The sequence below is a fragment of the Homo sapiens genome, chromosome 16, assembly GCF_000001405.40.
Source record: "Homo sapiens chromosome 16, GRCh38.p14 Primary Assembly".
NCBI classification, from domain to species: Eukaryota; Metazoa; Chordata; class Mammalia; order Primates; family Hominidae; genus Homo; species Homo sapiens.
Genome location: NC_000016.10, coordinates 30,767,539 through 30,788,199, shown reverse-complemented (window position 1 = coordinate 30,788,199; position 20,661 = coordinate 30,767,539). Strand labels below are relative to the sequence as shown.

The following is a 20,661-nucleotide window of genomic DNA, read 5'->3' as shown; positions in this document are numbered from 1 at the left end:
CAGCCTCTCAGTCTCTGGACAGAGCCCTCTGCACGCTCCCAGGATTCCTCTGTGTTTGTAACACATACACAATACCAAACTTCCCAAGGGTAGAAAGCCCAATTTCCATGCATCTCAGAGGTATGCCCACCCCAGTGTTAACCACAGTGCCCAGGAATAATAATGCAGTGTGTTGAACTGAAAGAATCAGGTGGCCTTAAGTACACCAGTCGCTTCTCACACCTTGGTTTCCTCCCCGGTGAAATGGGGATGATGGGCAACCTTATCCCATGGGACTGTGATAAGGAAGACAAGAAAGAAAGGCTGTAAAAATTGCGAGCATAGATAACTTGGACGTTGAGAGGCCACCAGTGTTCCTGGGTTTTTAAAGGTTTCTTCTGCTGTGAGCCGGGTGCCCTCTGAGCTATGAGAAAAGAGGTTCTCCCTCCTTGGCCAGGGAACCCCCACTGGCTTCTTTCCTGCCACCGTGAGCCTCAGTTTCCTCCTCTGAGGGGAGGTGTTTGGAGAAGAGGGGCTGGAACACAGGCTATTGCAAATCCTTCCCGGCTGTGCTTGTTCCTGCAGTCCCAACTCCTGCAGCCATGACTTCCATCAAGCATTAAGGCCATGTTTAGTGCGTAGGGTGTTCCCTCTCAGGTCTGCTCTGCCAGCCCCTGCTCCCACCCCAGCCCCATCCCAGGGTTAGTCCAAACAAAGACTGGCCTCAGGGGATCAGCAGCCGCCAAATCTGAGATAGGGCTTTCCGGGCGCGGCCGGCGGAGCCCCTGCGAAATGAAGAGCGGCCAGAAGCCCAGGGACCCTCGCGGGCATCGGGGCTCTCCCAGATGCCCACGCTGCCTGCTCCCACTGGAGACGGGGACAGGGGCGTCGTCCCAGCCTCCTCCCTGCTCCCACCGCTGTCCCCTTTTTTCCCCAGGCTGCGGGAGGCAAAGGGTTAAATCCCATAGAGCTGATGCTCTGACTCCAGGCTAGAGGGGCCCGGGAAGCTGGGGTCACTTCCTGCTCCGTCCCAGTCACCCTGAACTGGTCCCCGGGTCCTCAGCCTGGAATCACCCCTTGAGAAGGACCCCAGAGTCCTCGGCGCCCAGTCCGTCCCCCGAGGCAGGGCACTGAAGGGGTTAAGTCCCCTGGGGCTGGATTCCGCCTTCCGGCTTTTCCCAGACCCCAGAGCCGTGAGTTGGGGACGCCTGGGTTCCCGGGGGGTGGCCTGGAGTGCCCGGGACGGCCGCCGGGGAACAATGGGGCCCGGGAGGCGGGGGCCGGGAGCCCGGGCCTGAGCCCCCCACCCGCGCCCGGGGCTGTGGCCGGGGTGGGGGCGGGCGGGGGGCGCGGAGGGCCGAGGATTCTGGGAAGCGCGGGGGTCGGTGGCGGGGGAGGGGAGCCTGGGGATTCTGGGAAGAGGGATCGGCCGGGGCCGGGGACCAGCGCTGCCAGCGCAGCCCTGGAGGAGCCTGGCAGTGCTGGAAGGAGCCGGGACCCCGGGGGCCGGGGCAGGGGCGGATGCCCAGGCTCTGTATCAGCAGCGGGACGGGGGTCGCGGCTCCGGGGGAGCAGAAGTCCGGAGCCAAGCGGTGGGGGGGCCGGGCCGGGCGGCCGCATTCCCGCCGCCTCCATGTCAGGGTCACCCTGGGCCGTTCCCCACATCTCTCGGGAGGCGGCTCCTCATTCCCTCCCTCTGCAGTGGGGCCATCGCGAGGTCTCAGGCTGGCGTGCCTGGCGCCTGGGCTCCCAGCGCCTCGGCCTCCCTCGGTCTTCCCACGTCCATGCTCTGTGTCGGCCCTGTCATTAACCCTTTCCCTCCTACTCTGGACCACTAGGGGAGAATTTTTTGGAGACCATCGAGGTCCACAAACTCTTACCTGTCCCGAGCAAACACAGCAGGGCATCCTTCCCGGACCGGACATCAGGCAGCCCCCAGTGTGGCAGAGGTCTCCGCTTCCACCACCCCAAAGACACTTACAGGCGGGGAGGGGGGATTCTCGGAGCTTAAGTAGCTGCAGAGATGAAGAAATTAATTTACTTCCTAAACGCTAACTTCTGTCTCTCCTACCGCTCTTTGGCAGGGTGCAGCCAGTCTTGCTTCACCTTGGTCACCTCTCAGCGCCTCCTGCCATGTCTCCCTTGCCCCACTGCCCCTGTGCACACAGCGCCCACCTCACACAGCCATCCAAAGTTTCCAGGCCCCACCCAGGGATTCTCTGCAGGGTGTAAATGGTGTGGGACCTCCTTCAAGCGCTTTGTTCCTGTGGCCCCATTCCCTCATCCTGAACTCATCTCACCATTTTTGGAGTGACAGCTGGCTGTTTTTATTTATTTATTTATTTATTTATTTATTTATTTTACCAGGGGGCCACTTGGAACTCCTGCTCCTTTGCTGCCATCCCCTTGCAAACTGATCTTTAAAGGCATTAGACCAAACAGGTGTTCCAGGGGCTAGGGACATCTCACTCATTCATTCATTCAACAAAGTTTCTGGAGCACCTATTCAGTGCCAGGCTAGGCTTGGGAAACAGCCTCAAGAAAGCAGGACAAAAGGAGTAGAAGGAGGGTCCGGGCAGGAGTGGGGATAGGAGGGCTTTGGTGGGGAGTATGGTTCCAGCTCATGGGTGCAGACCAGCAGGCCTAGTCCCTGGGTCCAACTCCTCCTTTTCTAGCCTGGGAAACCTCTGGGTCCCAGGAATTTCTCCAGCCTATTCTCACTGCCAGCAGGCTCCCCATGAGCTGTCCTCATCACCTGTCTCCTGCCAGCCTCCCATGAGCATGAGTCTCACATGACTCCCAAGGTCACCTCGTGCTCTCAGAGACAGGGGTGAGCCAGATATGGAGCCCTGCTTTTATCATCTTAGCTCTGCCACTTCCCAGCCTTGACCTTGGAGAGGTTTCCCCAGGCATTGATGTACTAATCTGTAAAATGGACAGCCTGATTCCTGGGTCTCCTCACCAGGCTGTGGGAGGACTGGGTGAGAGAAATGACACCATGGCAGGCACTGGGTCTGCCGCAGGTGTTCACACAAGCATCCATCCTCCCCTTCTCCTTACTTTTTCTCTTCCTCTGGGCGGTTCCTGCAGATGCAGCTTTAAACTGCCCCTCTCCCCACCTCCAGCCTGACCCTCTTTCTGTGCTTGGATAACAGGGAAGTGCCCCAGTCCTTTTAGAGGGCCTCTGTCTCCTCTGGGAAACTGGGGTGTTTTTTTTTCTTAACCCTTTAAGTGTCTCAGGCAGCCTCGGTTCACTCTGGGGCACAGAAAAGTTTATTGGTCTCAATTAGCAGCCCCATTAAGAGGAAAATTAGAGTCTTAATGAGCTTCCTCTGATTAGCAAATAACAGGTTTCCCAGCCTCTGGGCATCAGAGGTATGGGGTGAAAAACTCCTTCCCCTGTGGATGTCAGAGACCGCTCCAGCCCCCATCCTGGGTTCAAAGGCTTATGAGTGATGAGTTTTTAATTACGCTCTTAAATTCACCTGCTTGCTTAGCTGTGCGCTTAAGATCTGGAGTGAGAATCAGGCCTGCAGGGGAAGGGGGCCACAGCAAGAACCCGTGCCCAGAAAAATGGGGTGGGAGGACACTGAAGTTCACACAAGGAGGAATGGGGCGGGGCAGGGTGGGAGTGAGGTTCAGGGGGAATAAAGCAAAGTGCAAAATCAGCTCCCAGTGTGCGCTCATCGCTGTCTTCCCCCGCAGGGTCCCTGGAACACTGCAGTCCTGAGCTCTGGGATGGAGCCCGAGACTGCGCTGTGGGGCCCGGATCTGCAGGGTCCGGAACAGAGCCCCAACGATGCTCACAGAGGTGAGGGGCACAAGAAGGGGCTGCGGTCCCGGCAAGACGGTGGTCCCGGCTCAGGGAGGGGCCTGGACTCTGGGGGACACCCGGGGGAGGGAAGAGAGACCAAACCCCGTGTTCTGAAAGGGGCTGGGGGCTGTAGACTCCCTTTCTTTCTGTAGGTGCCGAGAGTGAAAACGAAGAGGAGAGCCCTCGGCAGGAAAGTTCTGGGGAGGAGATCATCATGGGAGACCCGGCTCAGAGTCCAGAATCCAAGGACTCAACAGAGATGTCCCTGGAGAGATCCTCCCAGGACCCCTCTGTCCCCCAGAACCCCCCAACCCCACTGGGTCACTCCAATCCCTTGGACCACCAGATCCCCCTGGACCCCCCAGCCCCGGAGGTAGTCCCTACCCCATCTGACTGGACCAAGGCCTGCGAGGCCAGCTGGCAGTGGGGCGCTCTCACCACATGGAACAGCCCCCCAGTCGTCCCCGCCAACGAGCCCAGCCTGCGGGAGCTGGTGCAGGGCCGCCCGGCGGGGGCGGAGAAGCCCTACATCTGCAACGAGTGCGGCAAGAGCTTCAGCCAGTGGTCCAAGCTGCTGCGGCACCAGCGCATCCACACGGGAGAGCGGCCCAACACCTGCTCCGAGTGCGGCAAGAGCTTCACGCAGAGCTCGCACCTGGTGCAGCACCAGCGCACGCACACCGGCGAGAAGCCCTACAAGTGCCCCGACTGCGGCAAGTGCTTCAGCTGGAGCTCCAACCTGGTGCAGCACCAGCGCACGCACACGGGAGAGAAGCCCTACAAGTGCACGGAGTGCGAGAAAGCCTTCACCCAGAGCACCAACCTCATCAAGCACCAGCGATCCCACACCGGCGAGAAGCCCTACAAGTGCGGCGAGTGCCGCCGGGCTTTCTACCGCAGCTCGGACCTCATCCAGCACCAGGCCACCCACACAGGCGAGAAACCCTACAAGTGCCCCGAGTGCGGGAAGCGCTTCGGCCAGAACCACAACCTCCTCAAGCACCAGAAGATCCACGCGGGCGAGAAGCCATACCGCTGCACCGAGTGCGGGAAGAGCTTCATCCAGAGCTCGGAGCTGACCCAGCACCAGCGCACGCACACAGGCGAGAAGCCCTACGAGTGCCTAGAGTGCGGCAAGAGCTTCGGCCACAGCTCCACCCTCATCAAGCACCAGCGGACTCACCTGCGCGAGGACCCGTTCAAGTGCCCAGTGTGCGGCAAGACCTTCACCCTGAGCGCCACGTTGCTGCGGCACCAGCGCACGCACACGGGCGAGCGGCCCTACAAGTGCCCAGAGTGCGGCAAGAGCTTCAGCGTCAGCTCCAACCTCATCAACCACCAGCGCATCCACCGCGGCGAGCGGCCCTACATCTGCGCCGACTGCGGCAAGAGCTTCATCATGAGCTCCACCCTTATCCGCCACCAGCGCATCCACACCGGTGAGAAGCCCTACAAGTGTTCCGACTGCGGCAAGAGCTTCATCCGCAGCTCCCACCTTATCCAGCACCGCCGCACGCACACCGGCGAGAAGCCCTACAAGTGCCCCGAGTGCGGCAAGAGCTTCAGCCAGAGCTCCAACCTTATTACCCACGTCCGCACGCACATGGACGAGAACCTGTTCGTGTGCTCCGACTGCGGGAAGGCCTTCCTGGAAGCCCACGAGCTGGAGCAGCACCGGGTGATCCATGAGAGGGGGAAGACCCCAGCGCGTAGGGCCCAGGGCGACAGCCTGCTGGGGCTCGGGGACCCCTCCCTGCTGACCCCGCCGCCGGGAGCCAAGCCGCACAAGTGTCTCGTGTGCGGAAAGGGCTTCAACGACGAGGGCATCTTCATGCAACATCAGAGGATCCACATCGGAGAAAACCCCTACAAAAATGCAGACGGCCTCATCGCACACGCAGCCCCCAAACCTCCTCAGTTACGATCCCCAAGGCTCCCTTTCAGAGGGAATTCCTACCCCGGGGCTGCGGAGGGCAGAGCGGAGGCCCCCGGACAGCCCCTTAAGCCGCCGGAGGGTCAGGAGGGCTTCAGCCAGAGGCGGGGGCTGCTGTCCTCCAAGACCTACATCTGCTCCCACTGCGGAGAGAGCTTCCTGGATCGCTCTGTGCTCCTCCAGCATCAGCTCACCCACGGCAACGAAAAGCCCTTTCTCTTTCCTGATTATAGAATTGGCCTAGGGGAAGGCGCAGGGCCCAGCCCCTTCTTAAGTGGGAAGCCCTTTAAATGCCCTGAATGCAAACAAAGCTTTGGCCTCAGCTCTGAGCTGCTGCTGCACCAGAAAGTCCATGCAGGCGGGAAGAGCTCCCAGAAGAGTCCAGAGCTGGGGAAGAGCTCTTCCGTCCTCCTGGAGCATCTCAGGAGCCCCCTGGGGGCCAGACCCTACCGCTGCTCAGATTGCAGGGCCTCCTTCCTCGACCGCGTGGCCCTCACCCGGCACCAAGAAACCCACACCCAGGAAAAACCCCCCAATCCCGAGGACCCCCCTCCAGAGGCAGTCACCCTGTCCACAGATCAGGAAGGTGAGGGCGAGACCCCTACCCCCACAGAGAGCAGCAGCCATGGGGAAGGGCAAAACCCCAAAACCCTAGTGGAAGAAAAGCCCTATCTGTGCCCCGAGTGTGGAGCCGGCTTCACAGAAGTCGCAGCCCTCCTGCTCCATAGGAGCTGCCACCCAGGTGTCTCCCTGTGAAATGGGTCTGGAGACCAGGGGCCTCGCTCTCTCCAGAGAGGAACACTGGATTTTTTCCCCCAAAAAAATTACATGGGGAAGGGAGGATAACCCTATCAGATGGTAGTGGAGTGGAGGAGAAAGAACCCTGGGAAAAAATAGTGCTTTTACATCAGTGATGAGAAACCCTATAAAATTGTTGGTGGGAAGCACTTATAAGGCAGTAGAGAAAAACTGTTGGGTTAGAAACCCTATAAATATGTAGGAAAAAAAAAAGCCCTTTAAGTCTGTAGCAGAAAAACCCTATAAACCATAGTGGATAAAAGCCCTATTAATTGTAGGAAGAGGTCCCAATATGTCTCTGAACAACCCTATAAAATTGTATCAAAATCCTTAGGAAAATCCTATAGGGTCGGGGAAGTACCGCAATGGCACTGACCCGGGAGTAACGACCCTCAGATGATGCAGAAAACACCTCTCCCTCACTGTTCCACAATGTTCTCTCCCAGCAGCCCTGGACAGTTCTCATGGAGGAAGATGCTCAGCTGGGGGAGTGGTGTGGGAACTGGGTGGAACTGAAAAGGAAGAAAATAGGAGAAAAATAAGTGACCAGGAGCTCTGGAGCCCCCAGAGGAGATAAGACAGAGACTAGGAAGAAAAGGTCCCACTCACTGCACTGGGGTCCTTGGGGTTTGAGGACAATGTTAGATGCATTGTGTGTTTTAGGGAAAGAGGCCTATGGAATCCCTTATCAAAACCCCAAAATGGGGAAGAAAAAACAAATTGGCAAGCCTTTTTAAAGGCTGAAGTTTGGGGTGCAGAAACATGGTCAGTATAAGAATACTGAGAAACCACCACAAAAATTAGGGGGAAGCAGGGGGCAGTTTCTGTTAGATTGCTTTGAGGGGAGCAAACCAAGGTGGGGAAACTGCTCACATGGAACCCAGCTAACTCCAGGCCCCTTCTTGCTTCCGGAAGCTTGCGAAACTGCAAGTAGCAGGCAGGTCCCAGCTCTCAGAGTGCAAGGGTTCTCCCCACACCAGGCAGGACCACCCTTTCTCCCTGCCCAGCCAGGGACTTCTACTCTGCAAGGCCTCCAGGGATGGCGGTTGCCTCCCACCACATTCTCAGGTCTCACCTTCAGGAGGTTTTTCCTGAAATCTAACTGCCGCCAGTGGCAGCTCATTTCCTCAAATTCTGTCCTCAGTGGAGAGGGAGAACCGCTGCTAGTCGACCTCCAAAGAATAAAGCCCTTCAGAGACTTAGGGCCTGCGTGTGGGCCTCCCCAGCCTTCTCCAAGTCATCAGGGCCACAGAATTTCTTAGAAAGCTTTGATTAGCCAGCAACTTGATTTTAAACTTCAGCTATTCATCTTTGTTGGTAGCAAGGCTGCCCCGCAGGATAAGGCAGCCCTCCTCCCTGGTGGGGATCCAGACACCCCACAGACTGAGCCACAGGTCCCTGAAGAGTCCGCAGAGGCCGTATCACCCTCTTCACCCTGGTACCTGGAGCCCTCCAGGGTTGTGAGATCCAGCCCAATCTCAGCCTTGAGATGGATGGGATGGATTCCACTCACTTGGCTCCCCTCTCCTCCTTAGCCAGAAACCTTCAGAAGGAAACAGAAGGATGAGAAAGCCTCCCTTGCCAGGCCCATCTCACCTCCCACACCACACAGTTACACATTCATAAACAGCCAAGCCTGCTCACAGGCCTGGGCATATGTGGCTGGGGAGAGACTGTTGCCCTATGAGATGGTGGAAGACAGAAAACTCTTGAATGAAACATCTGTAACAAGACTCCCACTCCCTAATCCTGGAGACCCCTTCAAAAGGAGAGGACTCTGCTCAGCGCTGGGTCAGAAAGGAAGTGCTTGCCAACCCCAGTAATGCGCTGTCCTGGAGTAAGAGGACTGAGATGCCAGCTGTGGGGCCCGTCAGGAGTCACGTCTCAAGAGAGGGGTGACCCAGATTTTTGCAAAGCTGTGGAAGAGACCTCTAATTCCATGACCTAAAGTTTCACACAACCTTTATGCAAATCCTTCGCCATTTGTCTATCCTGGCCCCAGCAGGATGACCCTCACATTTAAAAGGATCAAAATCTCAAACATTGTGGGAGGAAAACGCCAGGCCTGCTGGGGAGAGGGAGAAGGCAGGCCTCAGGATTGTGCGGAGAACCATGTTGCCATCTGCATAACGCCCCAGCCTATCCAAGTGCCAGGAAGGGAAGCACTACTGAGGGGGGTGCTGCCTGTGGGTCTCTTCCTAACAGAACGCCAACGAAGGGGGTGCCCTGTAAGAATGAGAAGTCTGCCAAGTCTAAGGAGATGTCCCCCTCCCCAAGATGGTAGCAGAAACTGAAGTTGTAAAGACAAACCTCTCGCAAAGCCAGAAGCAGATGCTCTCAAAAACAGGCCTAAGGAATCTGTTCCCAGAAGAGGCCTGGGGAGCAGCTTTTGGGGCTCAGAGGCCAGTCTGGGGGGAGGCAGGCAGTGTGACTGAAGGCCGGCGCAGGCCTGTTTCGGACTAGGGTGTAGCATATTTAGTAGGATGCTCACATGTTGTAGGGATGGGTGAGGGCTAAGGGGCTTGGCTCTTGTACGGGATGGATGATGTGAGCGCACAGTTCGTAGGGTCAGGCGTCTTGCGGTAGGAAAGGGGCAGGGTTCGATACCTCTGGGGTGTGGCGTGTTCTCTCTTGCCCACCTCCCCAAGCTCCTTTAACCAGGAGCTTCCCTCCCAGAGTGAGCTACGTCTTGGGAGGATTGAAGCAGGGAGGTGGCAGTGGCTAGAGTTGCTCAGATCGGCTCAGATGAAGGCCCAGGGGTCAAAGCATTTGCTCACCACAACTGAGTCTGGAAGGCACTGTGCAGCCAAACCCTCTTGTCCAATCACATGCAGGCCCCAGGCCCCTCAGAAACGCCCTGGTGGAGGGAGGAGCCCAACAGATAGGGTCAGGGAGTCAGTGGGGAAAGCAGAGGGGAGAGCTTAGAGTGAAACTTGAAACTGCTATGGACATGGAGGTCAGATGGGAACTTGGAACTGGGCATGAATCCTGAATGGTGGGGAAACTTGAAGCCATCACAGCCAAGAGGTGGGGTTCCATGACCTGCCCTGAGGTCAGCAGCTCCCAGACTCCTTTGCCCTCACTAGGGAAGCCCCAGTCACCGGACTTGTCCCCATGGAGTGAAGAGAGGCCCCATTTTTGAGTGTTGTGTGTCCAAAACAGTGTTGTGTCACTGGTGGTCATGTTGCTTAGTTGAAGAGAATAAAGGGAATAAGATTTCCTGGGTGTTTCTTGTTTTTTCTTTCAGCCTAAAGTGAGCTGAAAGAGTGTGGCCTCACCTTAAGCCGGAGCCCAGGAGTGACTGCAAAAGCTCAGCCCAGCCCCAGGCCCACCCTTCACCCAGGGGCCCTAAAATCCCCATCCATTGCTGGCTTGTGGGAAGCTGAAGAGTTTATGAAGTTTTAAGCTGCAGTCCCTTGGTGCGGAAAGGGATAAATCTGATGAGATGGCAGCCAAGCTAAGCTGTTCTCATCGGTGCCTGGCCTTCCCACCAGCAGGACTGCAGAGTGGCCGCCTGGTGGCTCTGGCGCTGGCCAGCTCAGGCCCAGCTGTGCAGCCCCAGGGAGGCCTCTCTGACCACCATACCCGCAACCTGCCACAGGGAAGTTCTGAGGATCTAGTTTCAGAAGCTGGCATCCACCACTCCTGGTTCACTTGGGGACCCTGGGAGAGGTGGGTGGAGACCTGGCTTGTCATCACTGCCAGGATGTCAGCCCTTGTGCCCTCACTGTGTGGAGAGGCGAGGCTCAGAGAAGGGCAGCCAATTGCCCAAGATCCACAGCAAGTCCGTGAAGGAAACCAGAATGGCCAGGAACTCAAGCATGTTTTGTGCCCACTCCATCCCAATCTCAGGCCTGCCTCAGTGCTCAGTCTCCTGGGCCCTGGGCCTGGCCATGGGGGATTGGGGGAATCCTGCCCCAGCCAGAAAGTGTCTCCCCACCTTTCCTGTACCCCTCTGACCACAACCCAGGGCAGGTTCAGTGTCTCCTTCCCTTCCCCACCTGGAAAGGGGGGTGGGAGGAGAGGAGAAGCAAGTAATGAAGGCTACTCTACATTCTCTGTGTGCCAAGCCCTGGGGACACTGAGGTCTATCAGGAGTCCCAGTGCTGGAGAAATCTGCAGGAAAGTGACTACAGCAGAAGAGCAGACACAGGGCAGTGACTGCCTCAGAGATTTCGCAGAAGGGCTGTGGACCCAGAGATGGTGCCTGCCACAGTGGAGGGTCAGGAAGCTTTCCGGGGAAAGTGACCTGAAGGATGAGGGCTGCAAGAAGACCCAAGAGTAGGTGTATCGGCTGGGGGTGGGATGGAGGACAGGGGTGCATAACAGTTGGGTATGGGCTTAGAGCAGAGAGGGGACTATGGGAAGACAGAGGCAGAGAGCAGAGCCCACAGTGTGGAGCCCCTGGAGGAGCTCGGGGAAGGTACCACTTGGGGATATTTGAGAGTGACATGATCTCTCTTCTCTCCACAAGAACAGTGGTGATTCTCCAGGTCTGGAGCTCAGGAAAGAGGAGTGGCTGGAGCAGTTAGGTCCTTATCAGCTTAGCTATAGCCATAACCATGAATAAACACACACAAAGTGGCAAAGTAGAAGGTCTAGTTTAGGGGTGGAGGAAGAGGACCAGCAGAAGACAGTATGAGAAAAACCAGGACAGGACAGCGTAGCACCGTCGGATGCAAGGGAAGTTTTGAGAAGACAGCGGTCTACATCAGGCAACCCACTGGCCAATCACAGGCAGTGCCCAAGGTCTGGCTGAAACGGGCATGTCCACCACTGATGCCAACATCTGTTCACTCCCAAGAAGACAGCCAAGGTCGGGGTGGGCCCAGGAGTAGTTTTGGTCTGCCAGTCCCTGGGCAGCAGCCCAGGGTACCGCTGCCACTGGGACCACTAGGGGTGGTAAGCAGTCAAAAAATTAAGGCAAATCCTCCCGGCACCGGAGCCTCATGGGAAATGTTTATTAAGAGTTTGGTTCCTGGCCGGACACAGTGGCTCACGCCTGTAATCCCAGCACTTTGGGAGGCCGAGGCAGGCAGATCATGATGTCAGGAGTTTGAGACCAGCCTGACCAACATGGTGAAACCCTGTCTCTAAAAATACAAAAATTAGCTGGGCGCAGTGGTGCACGCCTGCAGTCCCAGCTACTCGGGAGACTGAGGCAGGAGAATCGCTTGAACCCGGGAAGTAGAGGTTGCAGTGAGCCGAGATCGTGCCACTGCACTCCAGCCTGGGAGACAGAGTGAGACTCCGTCTCAAAAAAAAAAAAAAAAAAAAAAGGTTTGGTTCCTGCCACCACATCAGTGGTTGCTGCCTCACTGACATTGTGGGATCTTCACCCCGTTCCCTTGGACTTGACCTTGAAAAAGTGGTTTGATGCCGACTTTTATTAGGTATGAAGACCCACGAGGAGAGTTTTGCCCCTCTGATAAGGAGACCGGGTGGCCTTTAGCGCAGATATCTAGAGAGACGATGCGGAATTACTTGGCATCTACTCAAGAGCCCAGGCGAAGGCTACTCCTGGAAGGGGACCGCGCTTACGGAGGCCTGGCTGACCTCCACCCGTGACCGGTGCGGCGCTCCTGAGACTGGCGCTCTCCAGGGGCGAAGGTGGCCGCGTCTCTATGATGCAATATCCTGCGTTTTTCCCACCCTCGCACCGCTGCCCCAGGCCATCGGCACTTTCTCTGCGGCCCGATGTCCTCCCCTGCCGCGGCCCGCGCTTCCACCAGCGTGCCCGCCGCCGCCGGCCCTACGCCCGAGGTCACCGTGGCGGCCCGCGTCTCCTTCTCCAGTTCGTCCTGGTCCAGCAGCGGCGGCCCCGCTTAAGTCCCGGGCGCCAATAGGGTCCGAAGGCGCCACCGCTGAGACGCACGCGGCCCCTGCCGTGGCCATAGCACTGTCGCCAGCGCCTGAACCAACACCGCTCCGCACCGGCTCTGGCGCCAGCCCCAGTCCTGCCTCGGTGAAGGATCCGCCCGGGGCGCCTGCAGCGCGCTGAGCCCAGGGGCGCCGCTCGGTACACGCCGCACCGCTCCCGAGGCCGATTGCAACGAGGGAAGTCACCCAGCTGAGGTGTCCCGATCTGTGCATTCGAGTGGTGTGGGGGTGAAGCCGCTGAGAAGCGGTCCGCAGGATCCAGTTCAGGCCGGCCTTTGGCCAGCGCAACCGGGAAACTAGCTCTCTCTCCGAGAACCTCCTAACCATGTGCGGACCAGGAACTACACTTCCCAGGATGCAGCCCGAGGAGTCCCGGCATCCCCCGGCCATGACAGCCAAGGACGTGGTCAGACCGGGGTCGGTGGGAGCAGGACAGGCGGCTCCGCGACGACCACCACGCTCTCCCCTTCAGGCCCAGTCCGGGATCCCTGCCGGCCGTTAAGTCTGAGCCCTCCCAGGCTCACACCAAGCCAGCAAAGTGCTGCTCAGCTGCTGCAGCTAAAATCGGGGGACTACATTTGGGGTGCGCGGCCTGGCTACTCTGGCTGCAGGCCGAGGGTTGAACGTTTATTCATCACAATTAACAGCCTATACAAGCATCTCTAGAACAGAGGCTGTGGGTCCAAACGGGTCCCTGCAGCTCCAACCCTCTGGCCTCTCCGGGCACTGCCCTCACAGCCGATGGAGCATGGCTGGGCAGGCAGACAGGACACAGGCTCAGTCACAGGGTGTCAGGGGGAAGCTCTTCTAGCTGGAATGATTGGAAGTTGGCCCAGCGGCTGGGGCTGGTCTGTCCCTTCCCCTCCTGGGAAGTTCCACCTCCACTGTAGTTAAGGCCACCAGGATGAAAGCAGGGTTAGGTCCAGGGACCCAGTAGAGCCTTGGGATGCATGAGGTGGGGGTAAATGGGCTTGGCAGAGAAATGGAGATTGGGAAGGGGCCTGATTAGAATAGAAACTGATGATGTTGGTTCAGCACCTGCAAGATGAGGAAGGTGACTGCAGCAACCTTAGAGCTTCCCAAAGGAAGCAAGTGATGCCCCCATCTGCCAAGAGGGTACCTCCTTCAGCCCTTGGCACAAGAGCCAGACCAAGGTGTCCAGGGAACTCCACAGGACAGAAGCCCTGCCGAGGTTAGGGGGATGGTGGGTGAAGGAAAGTCTTCCTGGGGCCTGCAGCCCAGTCTCAAACAAGGAACAAGGACATGGCTCACTGGTCCTCATTTGTGAGCCAGTAGGCAGGGAGCGAGCCTTCTCTAGGGTAGATCACAGCCTGGGGAATTTTCCTTAGGGTTAGGATGCATCCACGGAGACAGACAGGTTAGGGCCAGTTTCCGGGAAGCTCAGTCAAGTGCTCTGGGCTCCTCAGGCCTCTCAGGCAGACCTTTTCTGTAGGGCAGTGCCCCCTAGGCTGCAGCTCTGACCTTTAGGAAAAGATGGAACGAAGCTTGGCTGATCCCATGCCCACTAGCATGCACCAGGGTCCCCAAACCAACTAGATGGGCAGGGGCTGGGCCCATGGGGTCCGGAATGGAGGGTGGGGCCACTAGACCTGGGGTGGGGAGGAGATGGGGGCACAGCCCCCAGGGTCCATGGTGTTCCAGAGTCCCCTGAGTTTCAGGTTCAGCTGATGTAGATACGATGGAAGTCGTGGGCACCAAAGGCCGCGTTGCACTTGGGGCACTTCCTCTGGCGGGCCTCATAGCGGCCCCGCACGCACTCGAAGCAGAAAACGTGGAAGCACTTGGTAAGGACTGCATCCTTCTTGCGGGTGTTACAGCAGGGGCAGGTCAACCGCGCCTGGGCCAGGCAAAGGCATCAGCTTGGGAACAACTCTGACAGTGCCCAGACCCCAAGCTGACAGCAGGAGGAGTCCAGGCCAAGCCCACCACACTGGAGACTGCACCTCATCCTCCCATAACCCTGGAGGTAAGGACGAGCACTCTATGAATGAGCAAACTGAGGTGCAGAGGCCAAGGTCTCAACACTAGAAATCAGCAGAGTCCGGATTCATCACTGGGCAGTGATGGCTATCATGTGTCCCCTCAAAAGGACAAGGACCCACAGGCCCAGCCTGGACTCTGCCTTGGGGCTTCATCTCCTGCCCCACTGGCCGCCTCTGGTGAAATCCCAATCTTGTCTACCTCTTCACCTGCACTTGCTAAGTCACAGCTGGAATGGCAATGCAACTAGAAATCTGTTCTCTCTACCCTCAACTGGGCCCAGCCTCGACACTGGCCAGAGACCCTGCCGTGGGTCCCTTCTTAGCCTGAGACCTCTCTTCCGCCACCAGGAGGGTCTCACCTCCAACTCCAGACATGGATTGACTCAACTCAGCATCCCCCAACAGTGCTCCTCCAGCCTGCTAAAATCCCAGCCCAGCCTGCCGCCTCAGCAGCCTCCCTGCCATCACTCCTGTCTCCCAGGACCCTACACACCAGCACTGAACAGGCTCCCAAGCCTGCCTCTACCCCATGGCTGCCTCCAGCTGCCTCTGCCCTTCAAGGCTCAACTGCTTCCAAGGGATGACCAAGTCATATGTGGCTTCCACCTCTGCCTCTACTGACATTCCCCAAGCCTGTTCTCCAGCCCGGCCCTTTTGCCTTGAGCACCTTCCCAGCCTCCCAAAGGGGTCCCACAGGCACCTTCTCAGCATCCTTTGACACCATCCCATAGAACCTGCTCCCCCGCAGGCCTCCTAACCCCCTAAATGGTACTAACTATCCACCTAGTTTCTCAAACCAGGAAACCAGGAGTCCTCCAAGTGTTCCCTTTCCCTCACTCCATGCATTCGATCCACCCCCGAGTCCAAGCAATTCTGCCTCTGAAATGTCTCCTGAACCCATCTACTCTGGTTTCTGCCTCAGTGACTGCAATACCTTAACAATTTCCCTGCCTCCAGTCTACCTCTTCCAGCCCAAAACCAACAACAAATCTAACCACATCACTCTCCTGTTTAAAACCCTTTGAGGTCTCAACCTGGCGTACCGCACTCTTCAGGAGGTGACACGGCCCAACCTCTCCACATTGGCTCCTCTGATTACAACCTCCGGTGCTGTCCCAGCAACCCCTCCGCTCAAGCGTCCACATCTGCTGTTCCCTTTGCCTAAAGCTACTCACTCCCGTTCCTCACAGCCACGTCTGGCCTATTCTTCAGGTCTGCTGTGGTGACATTCACTCCAGGAAGCCTGCTGACCCCAGGGCCAGGGGAAGGGCCTCCCCTGAGTCCCCTCAGCCCCTCTGGCCTCTGCCATCATATTACACATCTGGGATGAGAGAATTACTTGGCTGCCTCCTCCCCTGACTGTCAGTTTCAAGAAGTCAGAGACCAGGGCCAGTTCCTAGCCTCCCAACCCACACCCAGCCAAGCACTGTGCCTGGCTCACAGTACATGTACAGCAAACAGCATTTGACTCTGTGACCACTGTGCTGCCCACTTTCTGCTGCCCTACATTACTTCCAGGGTCCCCAGACTCTCCACTAGTCTCAGCAATCCTGCATCTACAATTCTCAGGTGGATAGGGCACAACTTGGCCCACAGCCCCACCTTGTACTCCTTGATCTCCTCCTGGAGGATTTCGTCGGCATCTGCGTAGACCTCCACCTTCCTCTGCTTTTCCAGCTTGCGCCGCAGCCGTGAGATGTCCTCCTGGGGCAGGAGAGGCCTGGCTAAGGGCAAGGGTCCTCAACCTTGAGCCGCTTGCCCCCAGGATAGGTCCGTGACCGTGGACCACCCTGGCCTGGCCCCTCACCCCTGCACACACCTGAGCCCTCTTGAGGTTGAAGCTCTCTTTCTCACGAGCAGCCCGGCTCTCTGCCAGGCAGGGCTGGATCTCCCGCAGCCGAGTCTGCACGTGCTCCAGCTGCACCTTCAGGTCCTCGGCCAGCTGGGCGGCTTCTACAGCCTGAGTAGGGTGGAACAGGAAGGAGGCACTGGTCTGAGCCTGGTGACTCAGGCATGTGGAGTCACGGCCCACCAATGCTTCTGTCCAGGGCCCCAGTGACACCTGCCCTGGAGCTGCTCCTGCCTCCTGAGCCCTAAGCCCTCCCCTCCTGTTCTCCCTCTCCAGTTCCTCCCGTGTGATGCTGTTTTTTGGGGTTTCTTTGTTTTTTGTTTTTTTGAGACGGAGTCTTACTCTGTCCCCCACGCTGGAGTCCAGTGACACGATCTCAGCTCACTGCAACCTCCGACTCCTGGGTTCACACCATTCTCCTGCCTCAGCCTCCCGAGTAGCTGGGACTATAGGCGCCCACCACCACACCCAGCTAATTTTTTGTATTTTTAGTAGAGATGGGGTTTCACCGTGTTAGCCAGGATGGTCTAGATCTCCTGACCTCATGATCTGCCCGCCTCGGCCTCCCAAAGTGCTGGGATTACAGTCGTGAGCCACCACGCCTGGCCTGCTGTCTGGTTTTTGAGCTTTCACAAGGCTCTCCTCTCTGCTCCCCTCAACTTCCCCACCACACATGCAGCTCCCCTGGGCCTCAGCTCAAGTGTCACCTCCTAAAAGGCTCCCCTATTTTTCTTTGACAGCACCTCAGATTCCTGCACAAGGCTTACTGTGACATGCACTATTTTATTTGGGGGATTACTGGCCTGCTCTGCCTGCCAAGACCTGAAGTTCCAGCTTTGACTGGAAGGCAGGGACCTTCTTGTTCCCAATGTCTCCACAGCAATCAGCGCAAGGCCTAGTACATAGCAGGGATGTAAAATATGCTGCTTAAATGGGCCAAGCACAGTGGCTCACACTTGTAATCCCAACACTTTGGGAGGCCAAGGCGGGCAAATCACGATGTCAGGAGTTTGAGACCAGCCTGGCAAACACAGTGAAACCCCGTCTCTACTAAAAATACAAAAATTAGCTGGGCGAGGTGGCAGGCTCCTGTAGTCCCAGCTACTCGGGACACTAAGGCAGAAGAATCGCTTGAACCTGGGAGGCGGAGGTTGCAGTGAACTGAGACCGAGCCACTGTACTCCAGCCTGGGCAACAGAGCTAGACTCCGTCTAAAAAAAACAACAACAAAAAAACCACAAACATACTGCTTAAATGAATGAACTAACTGGAGAAGAAAACAGCTTCAGAGGAAATGGAAATCAATGTTAATCTTAAGCCTTTAGCCAAAGCTAGACATTTCTTCTATTTAATACAACTATGTGACAAAGAACATCATCCCCACTTTACAGTTCACCAGCGAGTGGTTAGAAGGTAGAGCCTGGAGTCAAGGAGGCTTGGACCCAAATATTAGGGCCACTCCCTCTTGAGCAGAACAATCCACCTCCCTGAGCCTCAGTTTCCTTATTTATAAAACGAGGCTAAAAACAAAATCCAGCCAGGTGCAGTGGCTCACGCTGTAACCCCAGCACTTTGGGAGGCCAATGTGGGTGGATCACAAGGTCAGGAGTTCGATACCAGCCTGGTCAACATGGCGAAACCCTGTCTCTACTAAAAAAAAATACAAAAATTAGCCAGGCGTGGTGGTGCGCGCCTGTAATCCCAGCTACTTGAGAGGCTGAGGTTGGGAGAGTTGCTTGAACCTGGGAGGCGGAGGTTGCAGTGAGCCGAGATCGCACCACTGCACTCCAGCCCGGGCGACAGAACAAGACTCCAACTCAAAAATCTTTTGTTTTTTTTCCCTAGGGACAGAGTCTCGCTCTTGTCACCCAGACTGCAGTGCAGTGCGATCATAGCTCACTGCAGCCTCAACCTCCTGGGTTCAAGTGATCCTCTCACCTGTCAGCCTGCTCGAGAAGCTGGGACTACAGGCGTGCACCAGCACACCCAGCTAATTTTAAAATTTTTTTGTAGAGATGGGGTCTCACTATGTTGCCCAGGCTGGTCTCCAACTCCTGGCCTCAAGCAAACCTCCCGCCTCTGTTTCCCAAAGTGTTGGGATCACAGACGTGAGCCACCACGCCCGTAAACACCATCTTGATAGGATTAGTGAGACTGAAATGTGACCAAGCATGTCAAGTACTCAGCATGTGGTCTGGCACATGTAAATGTTCAATATGTGTGAGCTGTTCTGTGACAGCCTGGCTTCACCTCAGGCTATTGCATCGGGTGCTCTGAGCAGAACCGGAAGGTGAGGAGGTGAGCCAGCAGCCCAAGCTGTGTGTCCCCCTGGCCCAGCCTCACCTTCCGCTTGTTGAGCTCCAGGGCTTGGCTGCGCAGCGTCAGCTCCTTCTCCACACCCCCGAGGCTGCCCTGCAAGGCTCGCTCCTTCTCCTCTAGCTTCTGCACAGTCAGCAGCTGGGCATCCACCTAAGGACCAGAGGAGGACTCAGGGCCATGACCCCCACCTCTCCAGCTCCAGTCTGCAAGCTGGCGGCGGCCATACCTGGGACTTGAGGCCAAGGACCTGCTCGCCCAACTCATCCTTCTCCTCCCGCAGCAGCTTGTGAATCTGGTTGGCCTTGATCCGCTCTGACATTAGCTTAAAGTTGGCATCATCCTTTTCCCGCAACTGCTGTAGCAGCCGCCCGTTCTGTTCCTGCATGTCCTCAAAAGCCTGACCTGTCACATCCATCTCTGAGAGCAGAGCCTCCTCCTCCTGCAGCAAGTGGGCAGAGACAAGATGGAACGTGGGAAGTGGACAGGATGGCTGTGGGGGAACCATGGGAAAACGCAGCGAAGCAAAGAACTACAGAGGGGACCCAGATCATCAAGGTCCTGCAGGCACTAGAGGCACCAAACAGGGTATGAAGGGAACTCCCTGCGCTCCGACGCGAGGGCACCACATGGGCCGCACCTGCTTGGTGGCACCCAGCTTGCGCTGCAGGTGTTCTATCTGCTCCTCTGCCTGCCGAATGCGCCGCAGGGCATCCTCATCCGCGATCTTCTTGCTCTCCCTTCGATCCCTCTCCTCCAATTCCCGGATGCGGCTCCGCAGCTCATCAACCTATAGCACAGGGAAGAAGAAACTCTCTTGACACTGCTTCCTGCTGAGCTAGGACTCTGCTCTGCCTTTCTGAATGCCCCACAAGCCCCAGCTGCCCTCACCTCGGCCTTAGCCTTGCGTTCCGCTGCCATGAGCTGCACCTTATCCCGCTGCTCCTTGGGCGCTGACTTGTACATATCCAGCAGCAGTTTCATCTCCTTCTGGCTCTCCTGGGCCTTCCTGGCAAGAAGGTACAGGAGGAAGTCTTAGTGAGTGGGACTGGAGGCCACCTGGCAGGGTCAGGAAGGAGACAGGAACAGAGCCTCACTTGAGCTCTGCTCGGAGACCCTTGAGGAGTTCTGATTCCTTCCGCTTGGTTTCTTCCACCTTGGCCTTCTCCCGATCAGCCCTTGAGAGAGCGGAGGCTACAGGTGGAGGTCCTAGGCTGGGACCTTCCCGTTCCCGAAGCTCCCGCTTGGGCCTGGCCTCAGGTTCTCGGCCCCGGGAGGAAGGGCCCTGGGCCCCAGGGGTTATACCCTGGAAGTCCTCTTCAGAGGGGACCAGCTCCTCCTTCTTCACTGAAGTGGTAGTAGTGGTGGTGCCAGGCACTGGAGCCATCTCCTTTCTGTTGTCGGGGGTACTGACAGGGCCTGGCCCACCCTCCTCTTTCCCTGGGGCTGGGGCACTGACGCCAGAATCCTCTGGGTGGCCCAGGTTGGGGGTGGAGTGGGCAGAGCCACTGGCCTGGGCCCGGAGCTGCAAAGGCAGAGAGGAAGAGGGATGAAGTCAGATGGTGTTCACTGGAGTCTAGCCAAACCTTTTCCCAGGCAGGCCCCTTCTCACCTTGCCAATCTCAGCTTGTACTTCTCGAAGCTTCCGCTTGTATCGCTGGGCGTCCCCTTTTAGCTGGTGGTTGTGGTTTTGAAGACTACTAATCAGGTGGCGCATCTCACGGTTGATGGGCCCTGGAGGAGCATCAGCAAGTAAAGGTGTCAGAACCAGTTCCTGGGTTAGGACTCCAACCCCTCAGTGGGGTAAGAGGCTATGCCATCACTCCCACTGTGCAGGAGGGGAACATTGCGGCCTCAACGGAGCATGAACTCATCAAAGTAAATAATGCTGACTTCAAGGAAACTCACCCAAAATTAACTTGACACTGCCTATTCATACGATTTTTGCTAATATAGAATATGTGGGGTTTTTTGTTTTTTTTTTAAATAGAAACAGTGTCTCACTTTGTTGCCCTGGCTGGTCTCAAATTCCTGGCCTCAAGTGATCCTCCCACCTTGGCCTCCGAAAGTGCTGGGATTACAGACATGA

General features: G+C 57.1%; 2 protein-coding genes across 7 annotated transcripts in view, besides 6 other annotated features; one reads left to right on the top strand and one right to left on the bottom strand.

Annotated features, from left to right (window-relative positions):
- Positions 926–1,045: an enhancer, noted in NCBI's record as "active region_10728". NCBI's record gives its function as "activates an Ori minimal core promoter by ATAC-STARR-seq in GM12878 lymphoblastoid cells {active_cell/tissue: GM12878}" and the evidence as "EXISTENCE:reporter gene assay evidence [ECO:0000049][PMID:35858748]".
- ZNF629 (zinc finger protein 629) lies at positions 995–9,744 on the top strand. Of its 2 annotated transcripts, none has more exons than NM_001080417.3 (3): positions 995–1,172; positions 3,685–3,790; positions 3,946–9,744. In NM_001080417.3, exons 2-3 carry the CDS (start codon positions 3,718–3,720, stop codon positions 6,480–6,482), a joined length of 2,610 nt encoding a protein of 869 aa, NP_001073886.1. In that variant the 5' UTR covers positions 995–1,172; positions 3,685–3,717; the 3' UTR covers positions 6,483–9,744. The 2 variants fall into 2 exon arrangements, with proteins under 2 accessions (NP_001073886.1, NP_001332899.1); NM_001345970.2 differs by having other exon boundaries at positions 3,927–9,744.
- Positions 11,841–11,950: an enhancer, noted in NCBI's record as "active region_10727". NCBI's record gives its function as "activates an Ori minimal core promoter by ATAC-STARR-seq in GM12878 lymphoblastoid cells {active_cell/tissue: GM12878}" and the evidence as "EXISTENCE:reporter gene assay evidence [ECO:0000049][PMID:35858748]".
- Positions 11,893–20,661, bottom strand: part of RNF40 (ring finger protein 40) — a 14,696-nt gene continuing 5,927 nt past the window's right edge. For 3 of the 5 annotated variants that reach the window (NM_001207034.1, NM_001286572.3, NM_014771.4), the window contains 9 exon segments: positions 11,893–14,262; positions 16,010–16,111; positions 16,227–16,367; positions 18,600–18,725; positions 18,802–19,014; positions 19,213–19,362; positions 19,464–19,581; positions 19,670–20,097; positions 20,185–20,306. In NM_001207034.1, coding sequence (NP_001193963.1) covers positions 14,086–14,262; positions 16,010–16,111; positions 16,227–16,367; positions 18,600–18,725; positions 18,802–19,014; positions 19,213–19,362; positions 19,464–19,581; positions 19,670–20,097; positions 20,185–20,306 — 1,577 coding nt within the window. In that variant the 3' untranslated portion in view covers positions 11,893–14,085. 5 annotated transcript variants of the gene reach the window in all.
- Positions 12,280–12,956: an enhancer, noted in NCBI's record as "H3K27ac-H3K4me1 hESC enhancer chr16:30786565-30787241 (GRCh37/hg19 assembly coordinates)". NCBI's record gives its function as "activates a minimal SCP1, AML or CMV promoter by ChIP-STARR-seq in naive and primed H9 embryonic stem cells {active_cell/tissue: H9 hESC(naive and primed)}" and the evidence as "EXISTENCE:reporter gene assay evidence [ECO:0000049][PMID:30033119]".
- Positions 12,281–12,360: a silencer, noted in NCBI's record as "silent region_7393". NCBI's record gives its function as "represses an Ori minimal core promoter by ATAC-STARR-seq in GM12878 lymphoblastoid cells {active_cell/tissue: GM12878}" and the evidence as "EXISTENCE:reporter gene assay evidence [ECO:0000049][PMID:35858748]".
- Positions 12,957–13,635: an enhancer, noted in NCBI's record as "H3K4me1 hESC enhancer chr16:30785886-30786564 (GRCh37/hg19 assembly coordinates)". NCBI's record gives its function as "activates a minimal SCP1, AML or CMV promoter by ChIP-STARR-seq in naive and primed H9 embryonic stem cells {active_cell/tissue: H9 hESC(naive and primed)}" and the evidence as "EXISTENCE:reporter gene assay evidence [ECO:0000049][PMID:30033119]".
- Positions 18,757–18,953: a silencer, noted in NCBI's record as "fragment chr16:30780568-30780764 (GRCh37/hg19 assembly coordinates)". NCBI's record gives its function as "represses an EF-1alpha promoter that drives an FKBP-Casp9 reporter gene in an ReSE screen in HepG2 liver carcinoma cells {active_cell/tissue: HepG2}" and the evidence as "EXISTENCE:reporter gene assay evidence [ECO:0000049][PMID:32094911]".